This window comes from Homo sapiens, chromosome 5, assembly GCF_000001405.40.
Source record: "Homo sapiens chromosome 5, GRCh38.p14 Primary Assembly".
Taxonomy (NCBI): Eukaryota; Metazoa; Chordata; class Mammalia; order Primates; family Hominidae; genus Homo; species Homo sapiens.
Window position 1 is genome coordinate 52034055 of NC_000005.10, and position 20975 is coordinate 52055029.

Below are 20975 nucleotides of genomic sequence, written 5' to 3' on the forward strand. Positions count from 1 at the left end.
AGAAACAATTGAAAATTATTTTTAAAAAAGAGGGGAAGGAAGAACACAGTCACAAAAAGGAAAATTAAAATTAAACCCAATGGAAGTAGAAGGAAAGAAATAATTACAAGGCAGAAAGCAATGAAATAGAAAACAGATAATAAATAAAATTAACAAAGCAAAAGCTGATAAAGACCCTAGAAAGACCAATGAAGGGAAAAACAAGAGAAAATATAAATTACCTATATCAAAAATAAATGAGAAAATATCATTAGAGATCTGACAGGCACAAAAAGAGTAATGAGAAAATGTTATGAACAATTTTTGCAAACAAAGATGAAAAGGCCAAAATCCTTGAGAAGTATAATTTTCCAAAGCTGATTGGAGAAAAACTAGGTAATTTAACCAAACCTTTGATATTTATTAAAACAATACAATTAATAATAAAAAATCTTCCCATAAAAACTCTACACTAAGCTAACTTCACCAGATAATTCTATTTAAGAAGAAAATCAAAATCAAAAGTAATTTTATGATTCTGCCATATCCTTGATACCAAAATCTGGCAAAGCCAAAACAGGAAAAAAAAATAGAGACAAATATTTCTAATAATCCTAGAAACAAAGTCCTTAAGAAAACATTAGAAAATGGAATCCAGCATAGATAGAAAAGTATCATGGATCATAAGCAAGTAAGACTTATTCTACAGAAGTTTGCTTAGCATTTAAGATCAATCAATATACTCCATCACATTTATTGAAGAATGTGTTCATTTCAAAAGACACATGAAAATTATTTGACAAATTTGAACACTTGTTTATAACTCAGCAAATCAAAAAAAGAAGGGTTTTTTTTTTCAAACTGATAAAAAGAATCTATGAAAACTACATAATTAACATTGAAATTATAAATCTAGCCCCAGTAGTTGGGAACAAGGCAAGGATGTTTGTTCACATTTCCATTACATATTGTACTGAAGGTTTAAACTGTTGCAATAAAGAAAAATAAAAAAGTAAATATAGAACTGCCATATATTCCTGCAATCTCCTTCCTGAGTACATATCCAGAGGAAAGGAGATCAGTATATTGAAGCAGTGTCTACACTATTCACAATAGCCAAGATATGGAATCAACCCAAGTGTCTATCCACAGGTAAATGGATAAAGAAAACATGTTATATTTACACAATAGAATACTATTATTCCATACAAGAATAAAATTATATCCTTCTTGGCAACATGGATGAGCTTGGTAGGCAGTATGCTAAGTGAAATAAAACAGGCACAGAAAGGTAAATACCACATGTTCTCATTCATACGTGGAAGCTAAAAAGTTGATCTCACGGAAGTAGAGAGTAGACTAGTGGTTACTAGAGGCAGGGAAAGCGATGGAGGAGGGAAAGATGAAGTGTGGTTAACAGATAATAAAGTACAGTAAGATAGGAGGAATAAGTTCTAATCTTCTGCAGCACTAAAGAGTGACTATAATTAACAATTTATTGTATATTTTCAAATAGAAGAGCAGATTTTGAATGTTCCCAACACAAATAAATGATAGAAGTTTGAGGTGATGTATATGCTAATCAGCCTGATTTGATCATTGCATATTATATTTATGTTTCTAACTATCACGCTGTACCCTATAAATATGTATAAATATTGTGCGTCATTGAAAAATAATGATAAAAGCAAACAATTAAAGTTTGAAAAACTAGCATTCTAATTTGTCCCTATTTGTAGATAACATGATTGTCTATGTTGAAAATCTTAAGGAATCTATTTAAAAAACTACTAAATTTAATAAAGGTATTTGGCAATGTCAATGGATATAAGCTCAGTATACAAAAATCAATTGCATTTCTATAACTTGAAAACAAAACTTTGAAGATAAATTTTAAAATTTACAGTAGTTTTGAGAATATTAAGTAGGAATTAATATAAAAATTTATGTGCAAACATCTACACTAAAAAATAGAAAATATTGGTAGGAGAAATAAAGAAGATCTAAATAAATGGAGGAATACATTGTGTTCATGGATTAGAAAAACCCCATATTATTAAAGTACAAATTTTCTGGAAATTGATATGCAAAATAAAATAAATCTCAACCAAGTTCCCATGTTGCTTTTTAAAATTTTCTAAATTGTGGGGTGGAGGGAGGGGGAGGGATAGCATTAGGAGAAATACATAATGTAAATGACAAGTTAATTGGGTGCAGCACACCAACATGGCACATGTATACATATGTAACAAACCTTCACGTTGTGCACATGTACTCTAGAACTTAAAGTATAATAAAAAAATAAAATAAAATTTTCTAAATTGACATGCGGATTCTGAAACATATATAGACATTCAAAAGACAGCAAATAACCAACTATTTAAAAAAAAAAAAACAGATCAGTGGGACAGAGTAGAGAATTCAAGGGATATGACATGTTGTCAATTAATTTTTGTTGAAGGGACATGTCAAAATCAATGAGGAAAGTCTTCTTCTTCACAAATTGTACTGGAACAACTAGATATTAGTATGGAATAAAATGATGAACCTCAGCCCCTCCCTCACACCATATGCAAAAGTAAATAGTTTTGAAATAAATCATATAACTAAATATAAAGCAGAAAGTACAAAGTTTCTAGAGGAAAACATAGGAGAAAATCTGCACAACCATGAGGTAGAAGAACATTTCTTAGAAAACAAAAAGAACTAATAATCAAAAAAATGGAAATTTTTGTATATCATCAAAATTAAAACCTTTGCTCTTCAATAGACACTATTAAGAAGATGAAATGATTAGCCACAAATTGAAAAAAAGCATATATTCTGAAAGAATAACTTCCTTCTGGAATATATGTATAGTACTTAAAATTAATCAGATAATGCAATAAAAATTGACAAAAGACTTTAAAAAATGCTTTACAAAAGAATCAATGTCCAATAAACACAAAAAAATACTCCGTTGGTTCCCAGCAAAATGTATATTAACCACATACACGTGCCAGAATAGCTAAAATTTAGAAGATAAAATATACCAAGTCTTGGCTCAATGCAAATGTTTTTCAACAGGTGAATGGATAAACAACTGTGTTCTATTCATATAATAGAATGCTAATTAACAATAAAAAGAACAAACTATTGATAAATGCATCAATATGAATAAGTCTCAAAATATTATAAGCTAAAATAGCCAGACGTAGAAGAATGTATATTGTATGATTTCATTTATATAAACTCTAGAAAAGGCAAACATACTTTCTAGTGACGGAAATCAGTTGTTGTCTTGGGTAGAACCTGGGAGTGGGTGTTAACTTAAAAATGACAGAAGGGGGCTTCCTGAAATTATATAAATGTTCTAGATATTGATTGGAATGATGGTTATATAAGCATATAGAATTTTCAATATTCATCAATCTACTTACTTAAATGGGTGCATTTTAAACATTTCATATATATGTCATAATCCCCGTTTTTACAAAAAACTTACACTTTTTAACTGTAAAATTTACACTTAAAAAGTGTAAGTTTTACACTTGTAAGTGTAAAATTAAGCTAAGAATTCATTCACTAAAAATGAACATTTATTTTAATTCACAGTATTCTTATAGATACTTTTGATTCTGCTAGATTTCAGGGGATTTTTTCCCAATTTCCTCTACTGAATCTGTATATCCATTAGATAAAAATAACTGTTATCAATAAATTCAAAACAGAATATATTCATTTATTTAAAGAGGACATGTTACAAAAAATTTAGGTAATTAGGCATATCTCAATTGCTTGGTAGATTTTGCTTAGTATGAAAGAAAACTTGCTTGAAAAATCATTTGAAATTTCTAAAGACACTAATTCGAGGCTTTTGAAGAAGTTATTCATGATGTTTGAAAAGGATGTTTGCCATAAAAATGGAATACAAAAATAATTTTACAGAAATAAACAGTTATTGATCATTGATGGACTTCTGGATATTGAAAATGGAGAGCAATTTCAAATAATTTGGGATTTGCAAGTGTGATTACAGAAGAGTACTAATACCATAACAACAACCTGAAAAGTGGTCTGACTTATGGCAAAGTGGTGGATGATGGGATTGACTACCAGATAGAGTTATATTAACATATCATAGATACTTAATACATACTTATCTAAATAATATGTGCTGAAGTAGAGTAGAAAAATAGTTCACATATCATAGAGTCTAAAACTGAGACTAAGAGACATACTGACTTGCTCATGGTCATTGAACAGTGAGTTTTTGTTAATAATGACAATATGCTTTTTCACAATAACCTTCTATAATTTAAGATTTATGAGGGTGGAGACTGTGATCTTTACCTAGTATGTGGAAGAGTATCTGGGATTTAGGCATGTTATAAGTATATATTAAATGAATGAATACATAATGCTAGTGAACTCCCATCAAATATTTCACCAAATCATCACACATATTAAACATTATAATTATATTAAAACAATAATAAGATATAATAACACACTGGAAAATATCAGTTGTTGAGGTTTTTAAAGCAGAATGATTGCCCTTCAGAAGGAAGAGAACATCGGGAATTTCACTTTACCCTAGTATCGTACCGCCCTACTCTGACCCCCTGCACTATTTCTGCACTTTCCACTTCTTTTCACTTTGTCCTAATCCCTAGAGATCCAAGGAATAATAGATCTGGTGGGGGTTTAAGACTACATGGCAGTCACTTTCCCTGTTGGAAGCAGAGTTGGCTTTTCTTTTTCATTTCGATAGAGCATTTATTTTTATTTCATATTTAAAGAGAAATTCTGTCTTTACATGTCACACCAACCTAGTGTACATGGAAGCAAATCCCTAAAATAATAAATGATTTTTCATGAAAGGTGGGATGGATTTTCATCTTCAGTTATTCTCATACATCTCTCAATGTCAGTTCTCTGGGAGGTGTTAGTTCCATTTTCAACATATACACGGCATCAACATAGTGTCAAAAAGTGTCTTTGTCACAGCTTGTATCCCAATGGAGCTATTAATTTCATTTGAAATCATGTTCTCTTTGTGATATAAGCAGATTATAAAGAAATTTATTGGAAAAAATATTTTTATTATTTTAATATCTTGCCTATGTTCATTTAAGGGCCATGATCCAACATGTTCTCTTTTGATACACCAGCTAGACAAATGATTTATAATTCTTTTGGATGCAAAAATCTAAGAAATATTTAAAAATCATGAACACCCACTTCAGGATTGATACTGCATAAGGTTACTCTAATTTTCATGTGAAGTCCAAGTGTTGTAACAATTATGGCTCATTATGTTGTCAAAGAGAGACCTGTATTCAGTAACTATTTCCAACTCAAGACAGACTGTGTTATTGCCAACAGGCTTTTCAATAACCTGTGACAATCCAGCTTGCAGAGGTTAGAATTTAGCCACGACACTGTCATCATTTTGTCTCAGTTCCTAAATTATCCAGCTTTTTTTTTTTCCAGAGATCGCAGATAAATCCCTTATTCTTGTTTATTCTTTAAGGGTTCTCCTCTTAGTTCTCAGCATAATAAACATGTTTTTCTAATGATTATATTCTTCAAATTACCTATGGCTTTCATCTAGCAAAGAATATGAAGGGAGGAAACAGAAGAAGAGGAAAGAATCCAAATAGAATACACTGTTTTTAACTTAGCTTCTATGAAGGAGCAATAAGGTTTTTCATTTAAGGCATCTCATTCATCTCCTTGGCTGTGCACCTTGTCCATTTACAGCCACCTCCTATGACCTTGTTTACTCTGGAGCCTGCTCTTTCACATGGTGAAGCAGGCACTAGTGAATAACTGCGTGACAGTCACCAATTCATATGCTTCTGGTAAAAGCATAATAAGCATCCTGTTTTAGAAATACAAATAAAATGGCTGAGTAATAAATAGTGTTTCTGATCTGACACACAAGACTTGAAATATAAGACTTCAACTTAAGCTTAAGGTAAAATTGCTTAGTTTAAAACTATTCCTCTCCTCCAATGTGAAAATGCAATTCCATAAAAGTTTAAGGGTGATGATCCATTTTTGTATGTAGAGAAGTTTTTAAAAAGCAACTAAAATTGTGTCAATTATTTGGATTACAATGTAGTTTACTTGTTTCCAATCCTACAAAGGGCACTCAAAGAAGAAAAAAAGAACAAGGATGAGTGTTTCCCTTCATTTACCCCTGCTCTCTGATACAAATATTTTATGTTCTGGGATCTAAAGAGGTCTCTTGAGTTGGGTTAATTGAGATGTGAGAAAATGTATAAAAAGATAACTACAGTCCTTCAAATGAAATAAGCCATGAAATCACCATCCTTATCATTAAAACTTTAATCACATTGAATTTATAACAATAATTGTGAGAGTAATGGTGTTAATGGAGTAGGGGTAGGAGATAGAGAAGTAGTGGCTGTAGCGTGAACATTATTTTATAACTTGATAATATCATTTTTGTATTTGCTATTAACTTTTCAGTATAAATGTAGGGGGAATAAACTTCTCCTTAAAATTTGTCTTGTCTAAATAGTCAAAGTAACTATTATATGAATATATGCATGTACATGTGCATACAATGAGTTAGTGAAATATTTACCTATATACATATACCTAAATACCCATATATGTATACATACATACAACACATCCACATGTATGTTTAATCCATTTCGATTTAGGTTTAAAAATAGTGTTTTTGTTTGAAAAGGGCCCCCATCAATCTGGGGATAAAAGAGGAATAGGTTTGATTTATTGAATACTGCATGCATAAATGAAAGAAATAGAGAAGGTCCAGCCAAAATCTTCTAATGGCAAAGACTGATGATCGGATCTGGCAGAATTTGCTTTTTCTTTGCTTCAGGAATCCACATTGTTGTTTACTGATCAAAATGAGGAGGAATGTTGGGGTAATTAAAGTTAATTTACTGGCTCATAAACTTTAACACATTTGATGATGTGTAAGGCCCTGACTAGCATAAAAACCAAGTCAGAAATTATTTTAGGCAAAAAGCACTTCACACATTTGTAAGCAGCTTTGATCAATAAAACAACAACCTCATATATATATATTTATATATATTTTTATATATATAAATATATATATAACCCATTAAAAACTGATGTATTTTAGTTTCCTGTATACTTATTTCTATTACGCTTGGTTGTAACCTTCTGAATACAGTTATACTGTGTTCTTACTTCAAAAATGCCATGAGAACTTAATAGTTTGTATATAAAATGAGCCTGAAAAATACCAAGCCTTCTATGAAAGATCTGAACTTTCAGTATTAATGATGCAACTTTTGGCATTAGGTTTTGATCCTTATTAAATCTTACTGTGCTTAGGAGAGATGACATTTATCAGTCATTCGTACTTGCCATGAATTAGTTTATCATGCTCTGTCCCAAGAATCTACAAAAAAGGAGACAGGAGAGCAAAAGCACACCATAATGCATAAGTCAGGGGTATTAAAAACTGCCCTAGGGCAGGGGAAAGGAAATTGGAAATTAACTGGTTTTTTTTTCACAATTTTTGCTGTTATTTAGTCCACGCTGCAATGCAAGGAAGGACCCTGATTTACTCTTTAAACTAGAAAAACCAGCTTTATTTTCTGAGGCATTTAGAAGATATTGACAATGTCTGGTTGACACTTTGGTGCTTTTCTTTGACATTTGTCTCTGTTAAGCTTGAGAAAGGTATCATTATCATCAATGCTCTCCCCCACCCTCAACACCTATCCCCCTTTCTATAAATCCTGATAAAATAAAAAGGTTTTTACTTGGTATTTTCTTGATTCTGGATTCTTTCAGGATAGTATGTATGAGTGAAAGTCCTATTCTTGTAAGAGTGTTTGTTTATGGTGCTATTTATTTAATTAATTATTCATATGCCAGATAATGGAGAATAAACTGGTAGAGCTGAGGTCAAATCGAAATACACCATAAATGTGTGATTTTAGAGCAGGAGACAGCTCCACAGATATGGGTTGACTGTCACTGACTATGGAACTGTCATCCCCATCATGGTTAGGCCTATTAAATGGCATGACTCTTTAGCAGGGCATGTCAAGTCAGTGAAGAATGATAAAGACTAAGCTACATGCATGCTAATCTGGAAAGTATTATGAAACTGCTTTGCGGCCAAGGATTCTAGTTTGAGATATGACAATGTCCAGTTTGTTATTATGACAAAAGAAAAAGGAGAATTGTTTACAAAATTGCAGGCCTTATATAGAAATGTCTGCCTTTTTACTCTTTGGTTTATTATTAAATATGAATAAAAAACAGTAGGATTTAAGAATAGACATGAAAATTTTATCCAGAGTGGGAATAAAAATGAATACTAAGAATATATCTGAAAGATATATCCAGCCTAGTTCAAGATGTCAAGAAAAATGAGATTGCAAAATCAGAGTTGCATAAAACTGAGCAAGAAACAATAGAAGTCAGCAATTGCAAAGCAGATGTGCAGGAATAAATATAACAAGTTAGCAATTCTCCTTGCCTGTTAGGAGTAGAGACCATTTATTTCTCTCCAGAGGGAAACTGAACATTTTTAAAGCCATAATTAATATTTATGTGTTTTAATTTGTGAAGTTTTTTTTTTTTAATAGAAACAGTTGTGTTCTTAGGAACTTTGCAGTCTGATTATAACACAGACTTATAACATTGTCTTACTTATACAGGTAAGTGTTCAAACTAAATTCAGAGGCAAAAATCTAATAATATTCAGAGAAGGAATGCAAATTCCACCCAGATTCTGTAATGTCAGACCAGTTGGAAAACACCTGTGTTTCGCCATATTGGGGCGGTGTTGCTCATTGAGATCATATAAATGTAAGGAATTTGGCAAGTCAACCAAATCTTTTTTCTTAAAGTTATACATTTTATTGTTAACTCTCAGGAATTAATATAGTTAACTATATTGTGTACAATGACTTTTGATAGGTCACATTTTCCCTAGAAAATGTATCATTTACCCTTAATAATTTTGACTTATCTCATTTTGTAAGGAAATAGTCCATTAAAAACTTGTATGTTATTTTTTAAATCAGCATCTTTTGAGTCTTAGATTTTGAGCCAGGTCTTGGACAACTAATCAAGTGACTTTGATCAAAATCTTTGGGAAACGTAATGTTTTAAGGACAAGTTTAATTGAATCACAGTTTGAAGTGGTAGCAAAGTGAGTTTGCCCTTTGTCATAACGTACCTAGGAATCCCGATCTATATTCCTGATTGCTATTGATTTTTCTAGATTTCATTATAAAATCAATAACTGTTGCACAGGGTAAGATAGTTTACAAGGGTTGCAACATACTGTGGACTTCTGAAAACATACTGAGCTCGGTGAAGCCACCCAGGCAGCCAATTAGGAGAAAACATCTATTAGGTAAAAACAGGGCAGTCCCATTGACTGCTATTGATTTTCTTAGCCCTGTGAAAAGACAATCAATTAGATAAAGAAGGCTAATGTTACAGCTGCAATTTAATAACTCCTAAAAAAAGAAGGAGGGCTATTGATTCCTGACATGGAATGTTGAGGCTTATTGAAATATACTGAACTTCACCTGTCTTTTAATCAGGCCTGTGGAGAAGAGAGGAAGCCTGCCATTGTAGCCTTGTGGTATAGAATCCCAATTGTTAAAGAGCTTTGGTGATGCCAGACCTAAGAGATGCAAATGAAACAGAACTTTAGAAGAAACACAGGCCCAGACTGAATACGAAATCACGGAAGCTATTGACAGAAACTGTCTTGGTGAAGGTTGTTTCTTTCTCTATACAGAGCTCACCAGAGTACCACCTGTCATTTTCAAAAGCAAAGTCAGTTTTGCCAACCAGCCGTGAATGACAAATAAAGCTTTATATGAAACACAAGGACATATTATGTGCTATTGTGAGTTCTGCTAAGTGCTAATTTATCTGGCTTGTTCTCTTCAGCAAACACAGGCACAGACACATGAAATAATCTACCTAATTATGTAGCTATTTAGGAGAAAAACAAAGCAAGGTGTTTTTGTGTGTTGCAGAAGGTACATGATACAAGAAAGGTTTTCACAAGCCCTAACATAGCTAATGAAAATAAATGAAATGCTGTAAGCTGCAACAATTTTAGAACAAATAAACTTTTGCTAGTTTTGGATTTAGGGAGTCCCAGCTGCTTTTCATAAATAGATGAGTACTTTCATTCATTTTTTTATAGTCCTTAATTGGAAATGGCTAATAGGCCTTGTCCCTTTCAAATATAAAATCTGGACTAAAATACCTCATATAGATATGTTCTTTATGCTTTTCTTTTCTATTGCATGTATTTGATCCTTTCTCCCCCATTATATATATGCCTTTTTACCAGCAGACAGCTGCTATTCACAATAATTGCTAGGGCAGTCAATTATACTTTAAATAGACCTACTTGAGGACAAATGGTGGTCTAAATTGTACTAAAGACACACCATACACAAAGACTATGCCATTTCTACTATCTGAAATATTCTAAATATTCCTGAGCAGCAGTATAGTTTATACACCTTACTGCAGCATGTCAAAGCTTTTCTCCAAAATATTTCCAGAATACAAGTGAACTATTCTGTGAGCCATTACATCATTACTTAAATTTCTATTTATAAACAGAAGACTATATTGTGCTAATTCCCCCACATGTATTTAGGTAGCATAAATCAGCATTGTACAAAATCTATTTTTGTTGAGTGCTTTCCTTTTTATTTAAAACCATGCATATTCAATATGCATATGTTTCTACTTATTAACATGGATGTCTAAAATGTGTTCTTTAAAGAGTACACTTTTCTTTAAGAATTACACATTTGTAAAAATAACTTGTGATTTGGACAAATAATTAGATTTTAGAACTTAAGATCCAAGTCAAAAGTGGGTAAATATGTCCCTTATTACAACATATAGTGCCTTGTTTACATATGCAATGTGCATTTTACAAACAATATTAGATACAGTGATATAAGTGAGTGTAGCACATTTCTGTTTATGACAGTATTACATTGTCAGAATAGTCAACACATTATTGATTGGCAAGGGAAGTACACTCCATACAAATCTGAAATGCCATCTTTATAAGCAAATCACAATCATATTTTTAAAATCAAAATTTGGGGATGTAAAAACGTTTATTTAATTTAAATATTAGAAACTACAATTCATTCAGGCTCTTGGAACATTATACCAACATGTCAAGTATTCTCTTTATTTTTCAATGTATTACACGTAGGTCATTTTTTCTCAAACTTGTGCTTTGCCATTAAGTATATAAAAACATATCTGTATCTGGGGTAAAATGCCATGTCTCTTAGGCAGCTTGGATATAGGTGTTTGGAATTGTATTTTGACCTTAAAGATTTAAGATAGCCCTCCCACTGTTAGATTAGCATAAGTGAAAATATATATAGCAGAAATAAAATCTAGCTTTAAAGATAAGAATCTGTCAAAAGAAGAGTAATGGAAGTGCATATTTAAACATCAAGGAATGAGCTTTTCGACACTTACACCTCTATTAGAGATATTGAAGTAGCATTTAGCTGTACAACATGCAATAGAAGAGTTCTTCACTAAGACATCTTCCCTCAATTTTCCAAGACTGCAAAAATAAAAACTTAACTTTAAAGCATATGACGAGTGTAGAAACAAAGTCAAGTTCCATTTTCAAAACCTTACAAATAATTTGTGAATAAACGAGGACAAGTGAATCAACTAAAAAGATTTTTACTGAGGGTTTTGTGGAACTCTTCTTAATAATATCATCTCTAAAGCCAGATTGCTTGGTTCAAACTCTACCTTCCCCACTTTATAAGTGTGCAATTCCTGGTAAATATTGTCTTGGGGATGCTGTAATTCCTTTTGGGGATGGAATCTCCCCTTAGTTCTCAGTAGGTCTTGTGTGAGAATACAAAAGTTTTCAGGAAATCATTGTGTATCTTGATTTTTCTTTTTCTTTATCACATTAGTTAAAAAGCATGAGAGAAGATGCCGGCAAGGGAAATTGTCAACAAGTGGTCAATAATTATTCTTTAAGAGTTTTGTTGTGGAAATAGAAATTTTGTTAAAATATCTTTACTTTGGTATTCATAGAAGTTATATCATGTCCAAAATTTAAAATCAAGCCCAAAGCATTACTTTTTCCTTCACACAACAAACGACACATTGTATAACAAAGAACCACAAAATTAGGTTTATGGATCTAAGTCTAAAACCATTTTACGGTTACTAAAAAGAAAACACATTTTGTAAAAAAAATTCCTATTTTCCCCATTCTCAGAATGTTAAACATCTTCTTCTTTTGTTGTTAATTTGATAAGTACTGTGCTTCGAGACCAAAAGGCTGACAGGTTACATAGTAAGTCCTGTGAAATTTCTCAGCTAAGCTCCAAAGCATGTCACTTGAGACATGGAACTTTATCAGTCACTTCACTGGCAAAGTTTTAAGCAACTAACATGTTAGTGAGAGTAGTTTTAAAAAATTCGATCCTAAAAATTAGTATAACTTGTCCTCAAAAATTTTATTTTTTAATGCTTTGATTTGTAGAGTAATATCAGAAGTATATAACTTAAGAAAAATGAAAATATAAGCATCTATTTGCCTGAGTCTATGTAACTGGAAGAATAAAATATTGCAAAAACTATTTCTATTAAAAAATAAATTAAAATATTGAGGGTAGAGAACACAGTGAATGTAAAAATCACAAATATTGGGGGATCTTTTCAAATGTTTTTAGAGGGGTTTGTTTGGTTTTTATTTTATTTTTATTATTTTCTCATATATTAAAAAAAAAACACTGACAAATGAGAATTATTTTTATCCAAACAGTAGAAACAGTGAAGATTTGGTGCATTTTTTTTCTGAAATTACTTTTCTTCAATTTATAATTGGTTTTTGAGCACTCATTTTTATAGTTCTCCGAAAAGGCCTTTCAGAAAGAACAATAAACTTTAAGATGTGTAAAAAGGTGTTGTATCACTTGAGCCCAGGAGTTTGAAACCAGCCTGGGAAGGATGGTGAAATCTCATCTCTACAAAAAATACAAAAATTAGCCGGAGCTGGTGGTGCATGCCTGTAGTCCCAGCTACTTGGGAGGCTGAGGTGGAAGAATGGCTTCAGCCCAGGAAGCAGAGGTTCCTGTGAGCTACGATTTCGCCACTGCAATCCAGCCTGGGTGACAGAGCAGACCCTCTCTCAATACATACTTACATATATATAAAATATACATACATATATATATATAAATTCTACCTACAAATAATATGGAATCTATTTGGGACTCATCTAATAAATGTAACACAAGACAAATCAATCTAAAATTATGCTATTAATTTATTTCTTAGACTTTTTTTCACTGACTTTCTCCTCTTTTGGCTCATTTACCAATACGTTCAGTTTGTTTTATGTAAACTCATGACCTTTTACAATTCAGTAACATTTACAGTTGTTCAATGAATGCATTACCATTAGATTTGTTGTTGATAATACAGTAAGTTAATACAATAAATCAATAAATCAGTTAACAGTATTTTGGAAAGCTTGTCATTGGGGAAATATAAAATTGTGAGACAGTGCTATGGTTTGACTGGTTAAGTGGGAGGATTTTACTTAGTGGATACCAAACATTTATTCAAAAGAATTAATGTTATTTAAAATATTTTTCCTTTATGTGACCTCAGAATTCCTTGACTATGTAATAGTGTCACTATTCTGCCACATTTACTTTTCTCTCTAGTATTAGAGTTAATTGCATTCTTGTTTTAATAGGAATGGTTAGACTCTAAGCTTCTTGAAAAGAAGAGTGCATTTCTGGTTTATCTTTGCACTTTTCTCTAGGTGCTTAATATATAATGGGCATTCAATTAATACTTGTTGAATAAAAAAAAGACTCTCAATGATTGAACATATGGCCTACTCATAGTTCCTTAATGTTTATACATCATTCAGACTATTGTTCACATCCTTCCTGAAACTCTCTCTTTTTTACTTTACGGAAAGTACACCATCTCATTCACTTACCTTACCAGTTCCCTTTTCTTGTCTTAAATGCGGATTATCCCTAAAGTTTTCTCTTTGTCCTTCTTCCTCTCTGTTCTTTCGCTTCCCTTGCCTTCCCTGAGTTATCACGTCAACAATCGTGTGGTCTATTATGTGTATCTTGCCTCTATTTTGGGAGCTTTAGCGTATATGTTTAACGGTCTTTTGGCCACATCTACTTAGCTCACAATAACTGCAATATTGTTAAAACAAAATTAATCATAATTTATTAATTTGAATAATATACATATAATTGGACTGTACACTTGTCTTTCTGTGAAATTGCCCTGTGACCACAAGTAAAGACGTCATAAAAGGTAGATACAACTAGGCTTTTCTACATATATTTTGAATATCTGGAAAACTCTGACCAAAATGCTTTAAAACAGATATGGAACACGTTTACTCCATTACTTCTAGGCAATTGGATATAGTATAGCCATAAAATAATGATATTCTGAAAGTTCATTAATTAAATTAAAATTACATTCAAAATATATTATTAAATGAGAAAGAAAAAGATGAGAATGCCAGTTATGTTCTTATTTTTAATAAACTATGTAAATCCAGTCATGCACCTTACAAAGACCAGTCAATGACAGACTGCCTTTATGATGATAGTCCCATAATATTATAATGAAGCCGAATAATTCTTATTGCTTGGTGATACAGTAACTATGATAGCATCATAACATAATGCATTGCTCACATGTCTGTGGTGATGGTGGTGTAAACAAACCTATGGTGCTGCCAGCCATATAAAAGTATAGCACACAAAATTATGTACAGTACATAATACTTGATAAATTGTTATGTCACTGGTTTATGTATTTATTATTCTATGCTTTTTATTGTTATTTTAGAGTGTACTCCTTCTATTTATTAAAAAAAAAAAAACAGTTAACTATAAAACAGCCCCAGGCAGGTTCTTCAAGATATATTCCAGAAGAAGACATTGCTATCAGAGAAGACAACAGCTTCGTGGGTGTTATTGCCCCTGAAGACCTTCCAGTGGGACAAGATGTGGATGTGGAAGACAGTCCTATGGATGATCCTGACTTTGTAAGGACCTAGGTTAATGATTGTGTTTATGTCAGTTCTTAACAAAAAAGTTTAAAAACTATAAAAAAAATACAATAGATAAAATCTTATGGGATAAGCATGTAAAGAAAGAAAATATTTTTGTACAGCTATAGAATGTGTTTGTGTTTTAAGCTGTGTTCAATCATTTAAGGTTAATTTACTATTGAAGAGAGAAAAATGGTTTCTTAGAAAGAGTGCAGCATAAGTATTCGGTGTTTATAGTCTATAGCAGTATACAGTTATGTCCTTGGCCTTCACATTCACTTGTCTGTTACTGACTCACCCAGAGCAACTTGCACTTCTCCAAGGTTCGTTCTTAGTAAATTCTCTATACAGGTGTGCCATTTTAAATCTTTTACACTGTATCTCTACTGCACCTTTTCTCTCTTTAGACATGTTTAAATACACGAATACATACCATTATGTTATAATTGCCCATAATATTCAATATAGTGACATGTCATGGCCGGGCGCGTTGGCTCACGCTTCCAAGCCCAGCACTTTGGGAGGCCGAGGCGGGTGGATCACGAGGTCAGGAAATCGAGACCATCCTGGCTAACACGGTGAAACCCCGTCTCTGCTAAAAATACAAAAACAAAATTAGCCGGGAGTGGTGGCGGGCTCTGTAGTCCCAGCTACTCGGGAGGCTGAGGCAGGAGAATGGCGTGAACCCGGGAGGTGGAGCTTGCAGTGAGCCGAGATCGCGCCACTGCACTCCAGCCTGGGCGACAGAGAGAGACTCCGTCTCAAATAAATAAATAAATAATAAAATAAAATAAACAAACACCTAACTAGAGAGTGAGAGTTGAGAGTAACAGCGTTTGTGAAGAATACCACATTTCTGAGTCTTTCCCTTACTCTAAGCCAGGATAGGTCAGGGAGACTGACAAAAAAAAAAAAAAAAAAAAAAAAAAACATGCAAAGAAGCTATCATGACTACAAGAATGGGAAACTGGATTCCTGTTTCCCAGCTGGGTTATTTCTGAAATGCTCAATCTACAGTCCTGTCAGGTGGCTTTATCCTAGTCAAATATGTTGACGAACCGTTGAGAAACTTTTGCATAATCTTTGTAATTTGGGGTAACAAGTGAATATATATTATATAATATATAAATTATATATAATATATATGTAGTATATAATATACATTTTATATATGTATGTGTGTGTGTATATATAAACACACACACGCAAATCCTATTGGATAAACTGTTATGCATCACTTAACTATGGGGATATATTCTGAGAAATACGGTGTTAGGTGATTTAGTCATTGTGTGACCATCATAGCCTGTACTTACCCAAACCTCGATGGTATAGCCCACTATACACCTAGGATATATGTTATGGATATTGCCCTTAGACTACAAATCTGTACAGCAGGTTAGTTTACTAAATACCGTAGGCAATTGTAACATAATAGTAAGAATTTGTGAATTTAAACATATCTAAACATAGAAAAGATATTGTAAACATGCTGTATTATAATCTTATGGAACCACAGTCGTATATGCGGTCCACCACTGGCTGAAACTTTGCTATGAGGTACATGACTGTATATATGATTTTGGCAGACTCAATCGTGGAGGCTGACAAGTCAAATCCACAGAGCAAATTAGCAGGCTAGAAATTCCACTAGGAGTTGATATTGTAGTCTTGAGTTTGAAGACAATCTGGAGGCAAATTCTTTTTATTTTGGGATACCTCAGGCTTTCTGATGATTGAATGAGGTTCATCACATTATAGAGGGTAAACTGCTTTACTCAAAGTCTGCTATTTAAAAGTTAATCTCGTTTGAAAAATACCTTCACATCAACACCAGACTTACGCTTGACTAAACAACTAGGCACCATAATCCAGCAAAGTGAGGATGCAAAATCATTAAGTGACGTTCACTCTTTTCTTTGACATCCAGTGGCTTAATTACTATGATGTAAAGTTAATGCATCTTATGTTACATGGTAAGACAATAAAAGAGAGAAAACAAAAAATGTCTTATACATGAATACACAAACATACTCATAACAAAATTGGAAGAAAAGCTGGTGACAATTACAGTCTCCATTTCTGGAACTGGTTATGTGGTCATAGCTGATATTTATTAATCATCATCTTCTACTGCCAATGTTGTATTCCCTTTGTACTTGGTATGCACCTCCATTGGTCGTGTTTTTTTTCTTGGCAAGATGACCCAAACCCTCATTTGTGAAGTGGTATCAATCTGCGTATATATATATATGTGCGTGTGTGTGTGTGTGTGTGTGTGTATATGTATATATGTTGTGTATATATGCATATATATATGTTGTGTATATATATCGATATATATCAACCTAGATATATACATATATGTTGTATATAGATATATATCATTCTGTATATATACAGATCATCTATATATATACAGATTGATATATATATGATTTTCCTTATTTATATATATATGTTTCTCTTTTTCCTCAGTAATATTCCATACATATATGGAATATATATATAATATATATATAATATATATATTATATATATATATCGCATGCCTGTGGTCCCAGCTGCATGGGAGGCTAAGGCAGGAGGATCACTTGAGTTCAGGAGGTTAAGAATGCAGTGAGCCATGTTCACGCCACTGCACTCCAGCCTGAGCAACAGAGTGAGATTCTGTCTCAAAAAGAAAATATTAAAAGAAGAGTAAAGTCATCAACTTGATATGGTGTTCCCTTAATATGTATGAACTTAGTAACAGATGTCCAAAATACCTGAAGCAAAAATGGACTAAATTAGTAAGAGAAATATATTAGTCAGCAAATATGTTTGAAATTGAAATATGAGTTGAAATTTATGTTTCAACTCTTATCTCAGTAATTGATAGAATCAATATACATAAAATCAGTAGGTATTTAGAGGACTTGAACAACATAACCAGCTTAATCATGTTGGCGTTTATAAAACACTATACCCTCAAATAGCAGAGTAGGCATTCGTTCAAAATGCACAGGAATATTCACCAAAATGGACAAGATTTTGGTACATAAAACAAGTCATGTTATATTTACTAAGTTAAAAATCATAAAAGGATATTGTCTTAGGAAAATGGCTAAAATGAAATTATGTTAGACATTGAAAATCAAATAATTTCCAGAAAAATCCCCAAATACTTGGAGTCTAAACAATATTCTCCTAAATACTTAATAGTGAAAGATGAAATTATAATCAAAATTTGAAAATATTACTACTAAAATAAAATTTACCACAGAAAATATTAAATTTTGTGAGATGTAACTAACCTAGCACTTGGAATGAAATAGACTAAAATCAAAATCTGAGTCTATGTTACGACACTAGAAATATAAGAGAAAAATCCTAAATTCAATAGAAAAAATACTGAAAATAAGATTAGAAATTGTTTTAATCTGTTTTGTGCTCCTATAACAGAATACCTGGAACTGGATAATTTACACAAAACATAAACTTATTTTCCCACAGTTCTGAAGGCTGTGAAGTCCGAGATCTGATGAGGGATTTTGTCTGTTCGTTTGTTTTTGCTGTGTTCTCACATGGAAGGAGGTCAAGAGAGAACCAACCCACTCCTACAGCCCCCTTTTTATAAGGGCGTAAATCCATTCGTGAGGATGGATTGCTCATGACCTAAACATCTAACACTTTTGCATTGGGAATTAAGTTTCCAACACATGAATCCGGGGGCACATGTTCAGATCATAGCATTAATAAAATAGGAAATGAGCAAACAGTATAGAATGCACAAAGCTGTTTATTTGAAATGATCAATACAATAATCAAACATTAGCCAGACTGATCAAGAAAAAAAATCACATTATTAATGTTCAGAGGTAAAGAATATCACTATAGTTCCTGTAACTAAAATCTTCCAACAAAATAAACTTTTGTTCCAGATGTTGGACTATATTCAGTGGTGGATTTTATCACACTGTTTAGCAAGAAATGAAATTAGTCCAATCTGAACTCTTTCAGAAAATAGAAGGTATTGAAGACTTCTTAAATAATGTCATAAGGCCGCATTACCCTCATACCATACCAGATAAAAACACTATAAAAATCAGGAAACAGCAGATATATGTCTTATGAAAATATATACCATCATCCACAAGTCCAGCAAAATAAGACAATAATTTACATCATGACCACCTAGGGTTTGTTGCAGGAATGAATATTCATTTAACATAGAAAAATAATCAACAAAATTTACCATATTGATTAAAAAAGAGAAAAACACAACACAATCATGTTAAAAAGGAGACAAAAAATGTTGACTGTCATTGCCCATATACAATAACATCTCTTAAAAACTAAGAATAGAAGATAATTTCCTCAGTTTGATGAAAGGCACCTACAAAAGCCTACAGCTTACCTGATATCTAGTGGTGAAAAAGACCAAATGCTTTCCTTCTAAGATCATGAACAAAGAAATGATGTCCAATCTTGCCATTCTTATTTAACATAGTACTGGATGTTTTAGCCAGTTCAAAAAGGCAAGGAAAAGAAAAAGCATAAAGATAATAAAAAGGAATAAAACATTCATATTTATAGATGTCATGATTATCTACATAGGAAATTCAACGGAATCTGCTAAATGTACATCTAGAGCTAAAAAGTGACTTTATCAAGGTCACAGGATGCAAGATCAACACAAAAAAATCAATCACGCTTCTATATATTAACAAACATGTGGAAATCAAATAAAAACTTGAATGCCATTTACAGTGTCTCCACAGAATATGAAATGATAGGTGAATATCTAACAAAACATGTAAATGTGCATCCTGAAAATCACAAAATGATTTTGAAGAAAATTTTTTAAAAATCAAAAAAATGGAGAAACATATCACGTTTATGGATTGGAAGACTCAACATAGAAAAATAATAATTACTAGTCATTTCTTTTTCTAGTTTTAATGCAATATCTATCAAAATGTCAGGTTTTTTTTGTAGACTATACAAACCTGTAATAATTTGGAAAGCCATACAGCATAAAATAAAATAAATTTTAAAAGCAGAACAAAATGGGAGAAGTTGCTTTCTCTGATGTTAACATTTGCTACATAGTTACAGTAGTTAAGACAGTAGAGTATTGGAGAAGGGATAGACACATAGGTCCATAGAACATGACAGAGATCTTAAAAATAGAACCACAAAAATATGTTCAATTTTTTTTTACAATGATACAAAAACAATTCAATGGAGGAAAAAATAGCCTTTCCAGAAAACGGTGCTGGGACAGATTGGCATACCTAGGCCAAAAATATAAGGATTTATCTAAACCTCACACCTTATACAAAATTAATTCCCATGGATCAATGACTTAATGTATAATTATAAAATGTTTAAGAAATACTGAAGGCAATATTCATAATCTGGGGTTAGGTGTAGTGTTTAGACTTAACACTGAAAGCACAATTTATAAAAGTAAAACGATAAGCTGGACCTCAGACAAATTAAAAAATTTTGCTTTGTGAAATAGTCTGTTTATAGATTGAAAAGACAAACTTTAGTCTGGGAGCAAATATTTACAAAAACCTATATGCAACAAAAGACTTCTATCTAGAGTATAAAAAATAAAAACAAATGTTTATTTGACAAAATTTGTCAAAAGATAGAAGAAATTTCATTGAGAAGAATATACAGATGAGAAACAAATACATTAAAATACTTCAACATCATTAGTCATTAGATAAATGCAAATTAAAACCACAATGAGGTATCAATGTGCTTCTATATAGGTAACTTTAAAAATAATAACAAAACCAAATGCTAGCAATAATGAAGAAAAAACAGGTCACTTGAACAATTCTGGTGGGAATGTAAAATAATTCAGCCACTCTGGAAAGTAATATGT

At 32.0% G+C, this 20975-nt stretch overlaps 1 long non-coding RNA gene across 1 annotated transcript in view; it reads left to right on the forward strand.

Annotated features, from left to right (window-relative positions):
- Positions 1–9855, forward strand: part of LINC02118 (long intergenic non-protein coding RNA 2118) — a 35879-nt gene extending 26024 nt beyond the window's left edge. The window contains exon 4 of the long non-coding RNA NR_147166.1: positions 9564–9855. This is a non-coding gene — a long non-coding RNA (long intergenic non-protein coding RNA 2118). The remainder of the gene's footprint in view (positions 1–9563) is intronic.
- The last annotated feature ends 11120 nt before the right edge of the window (positions 9856–20975 follow it).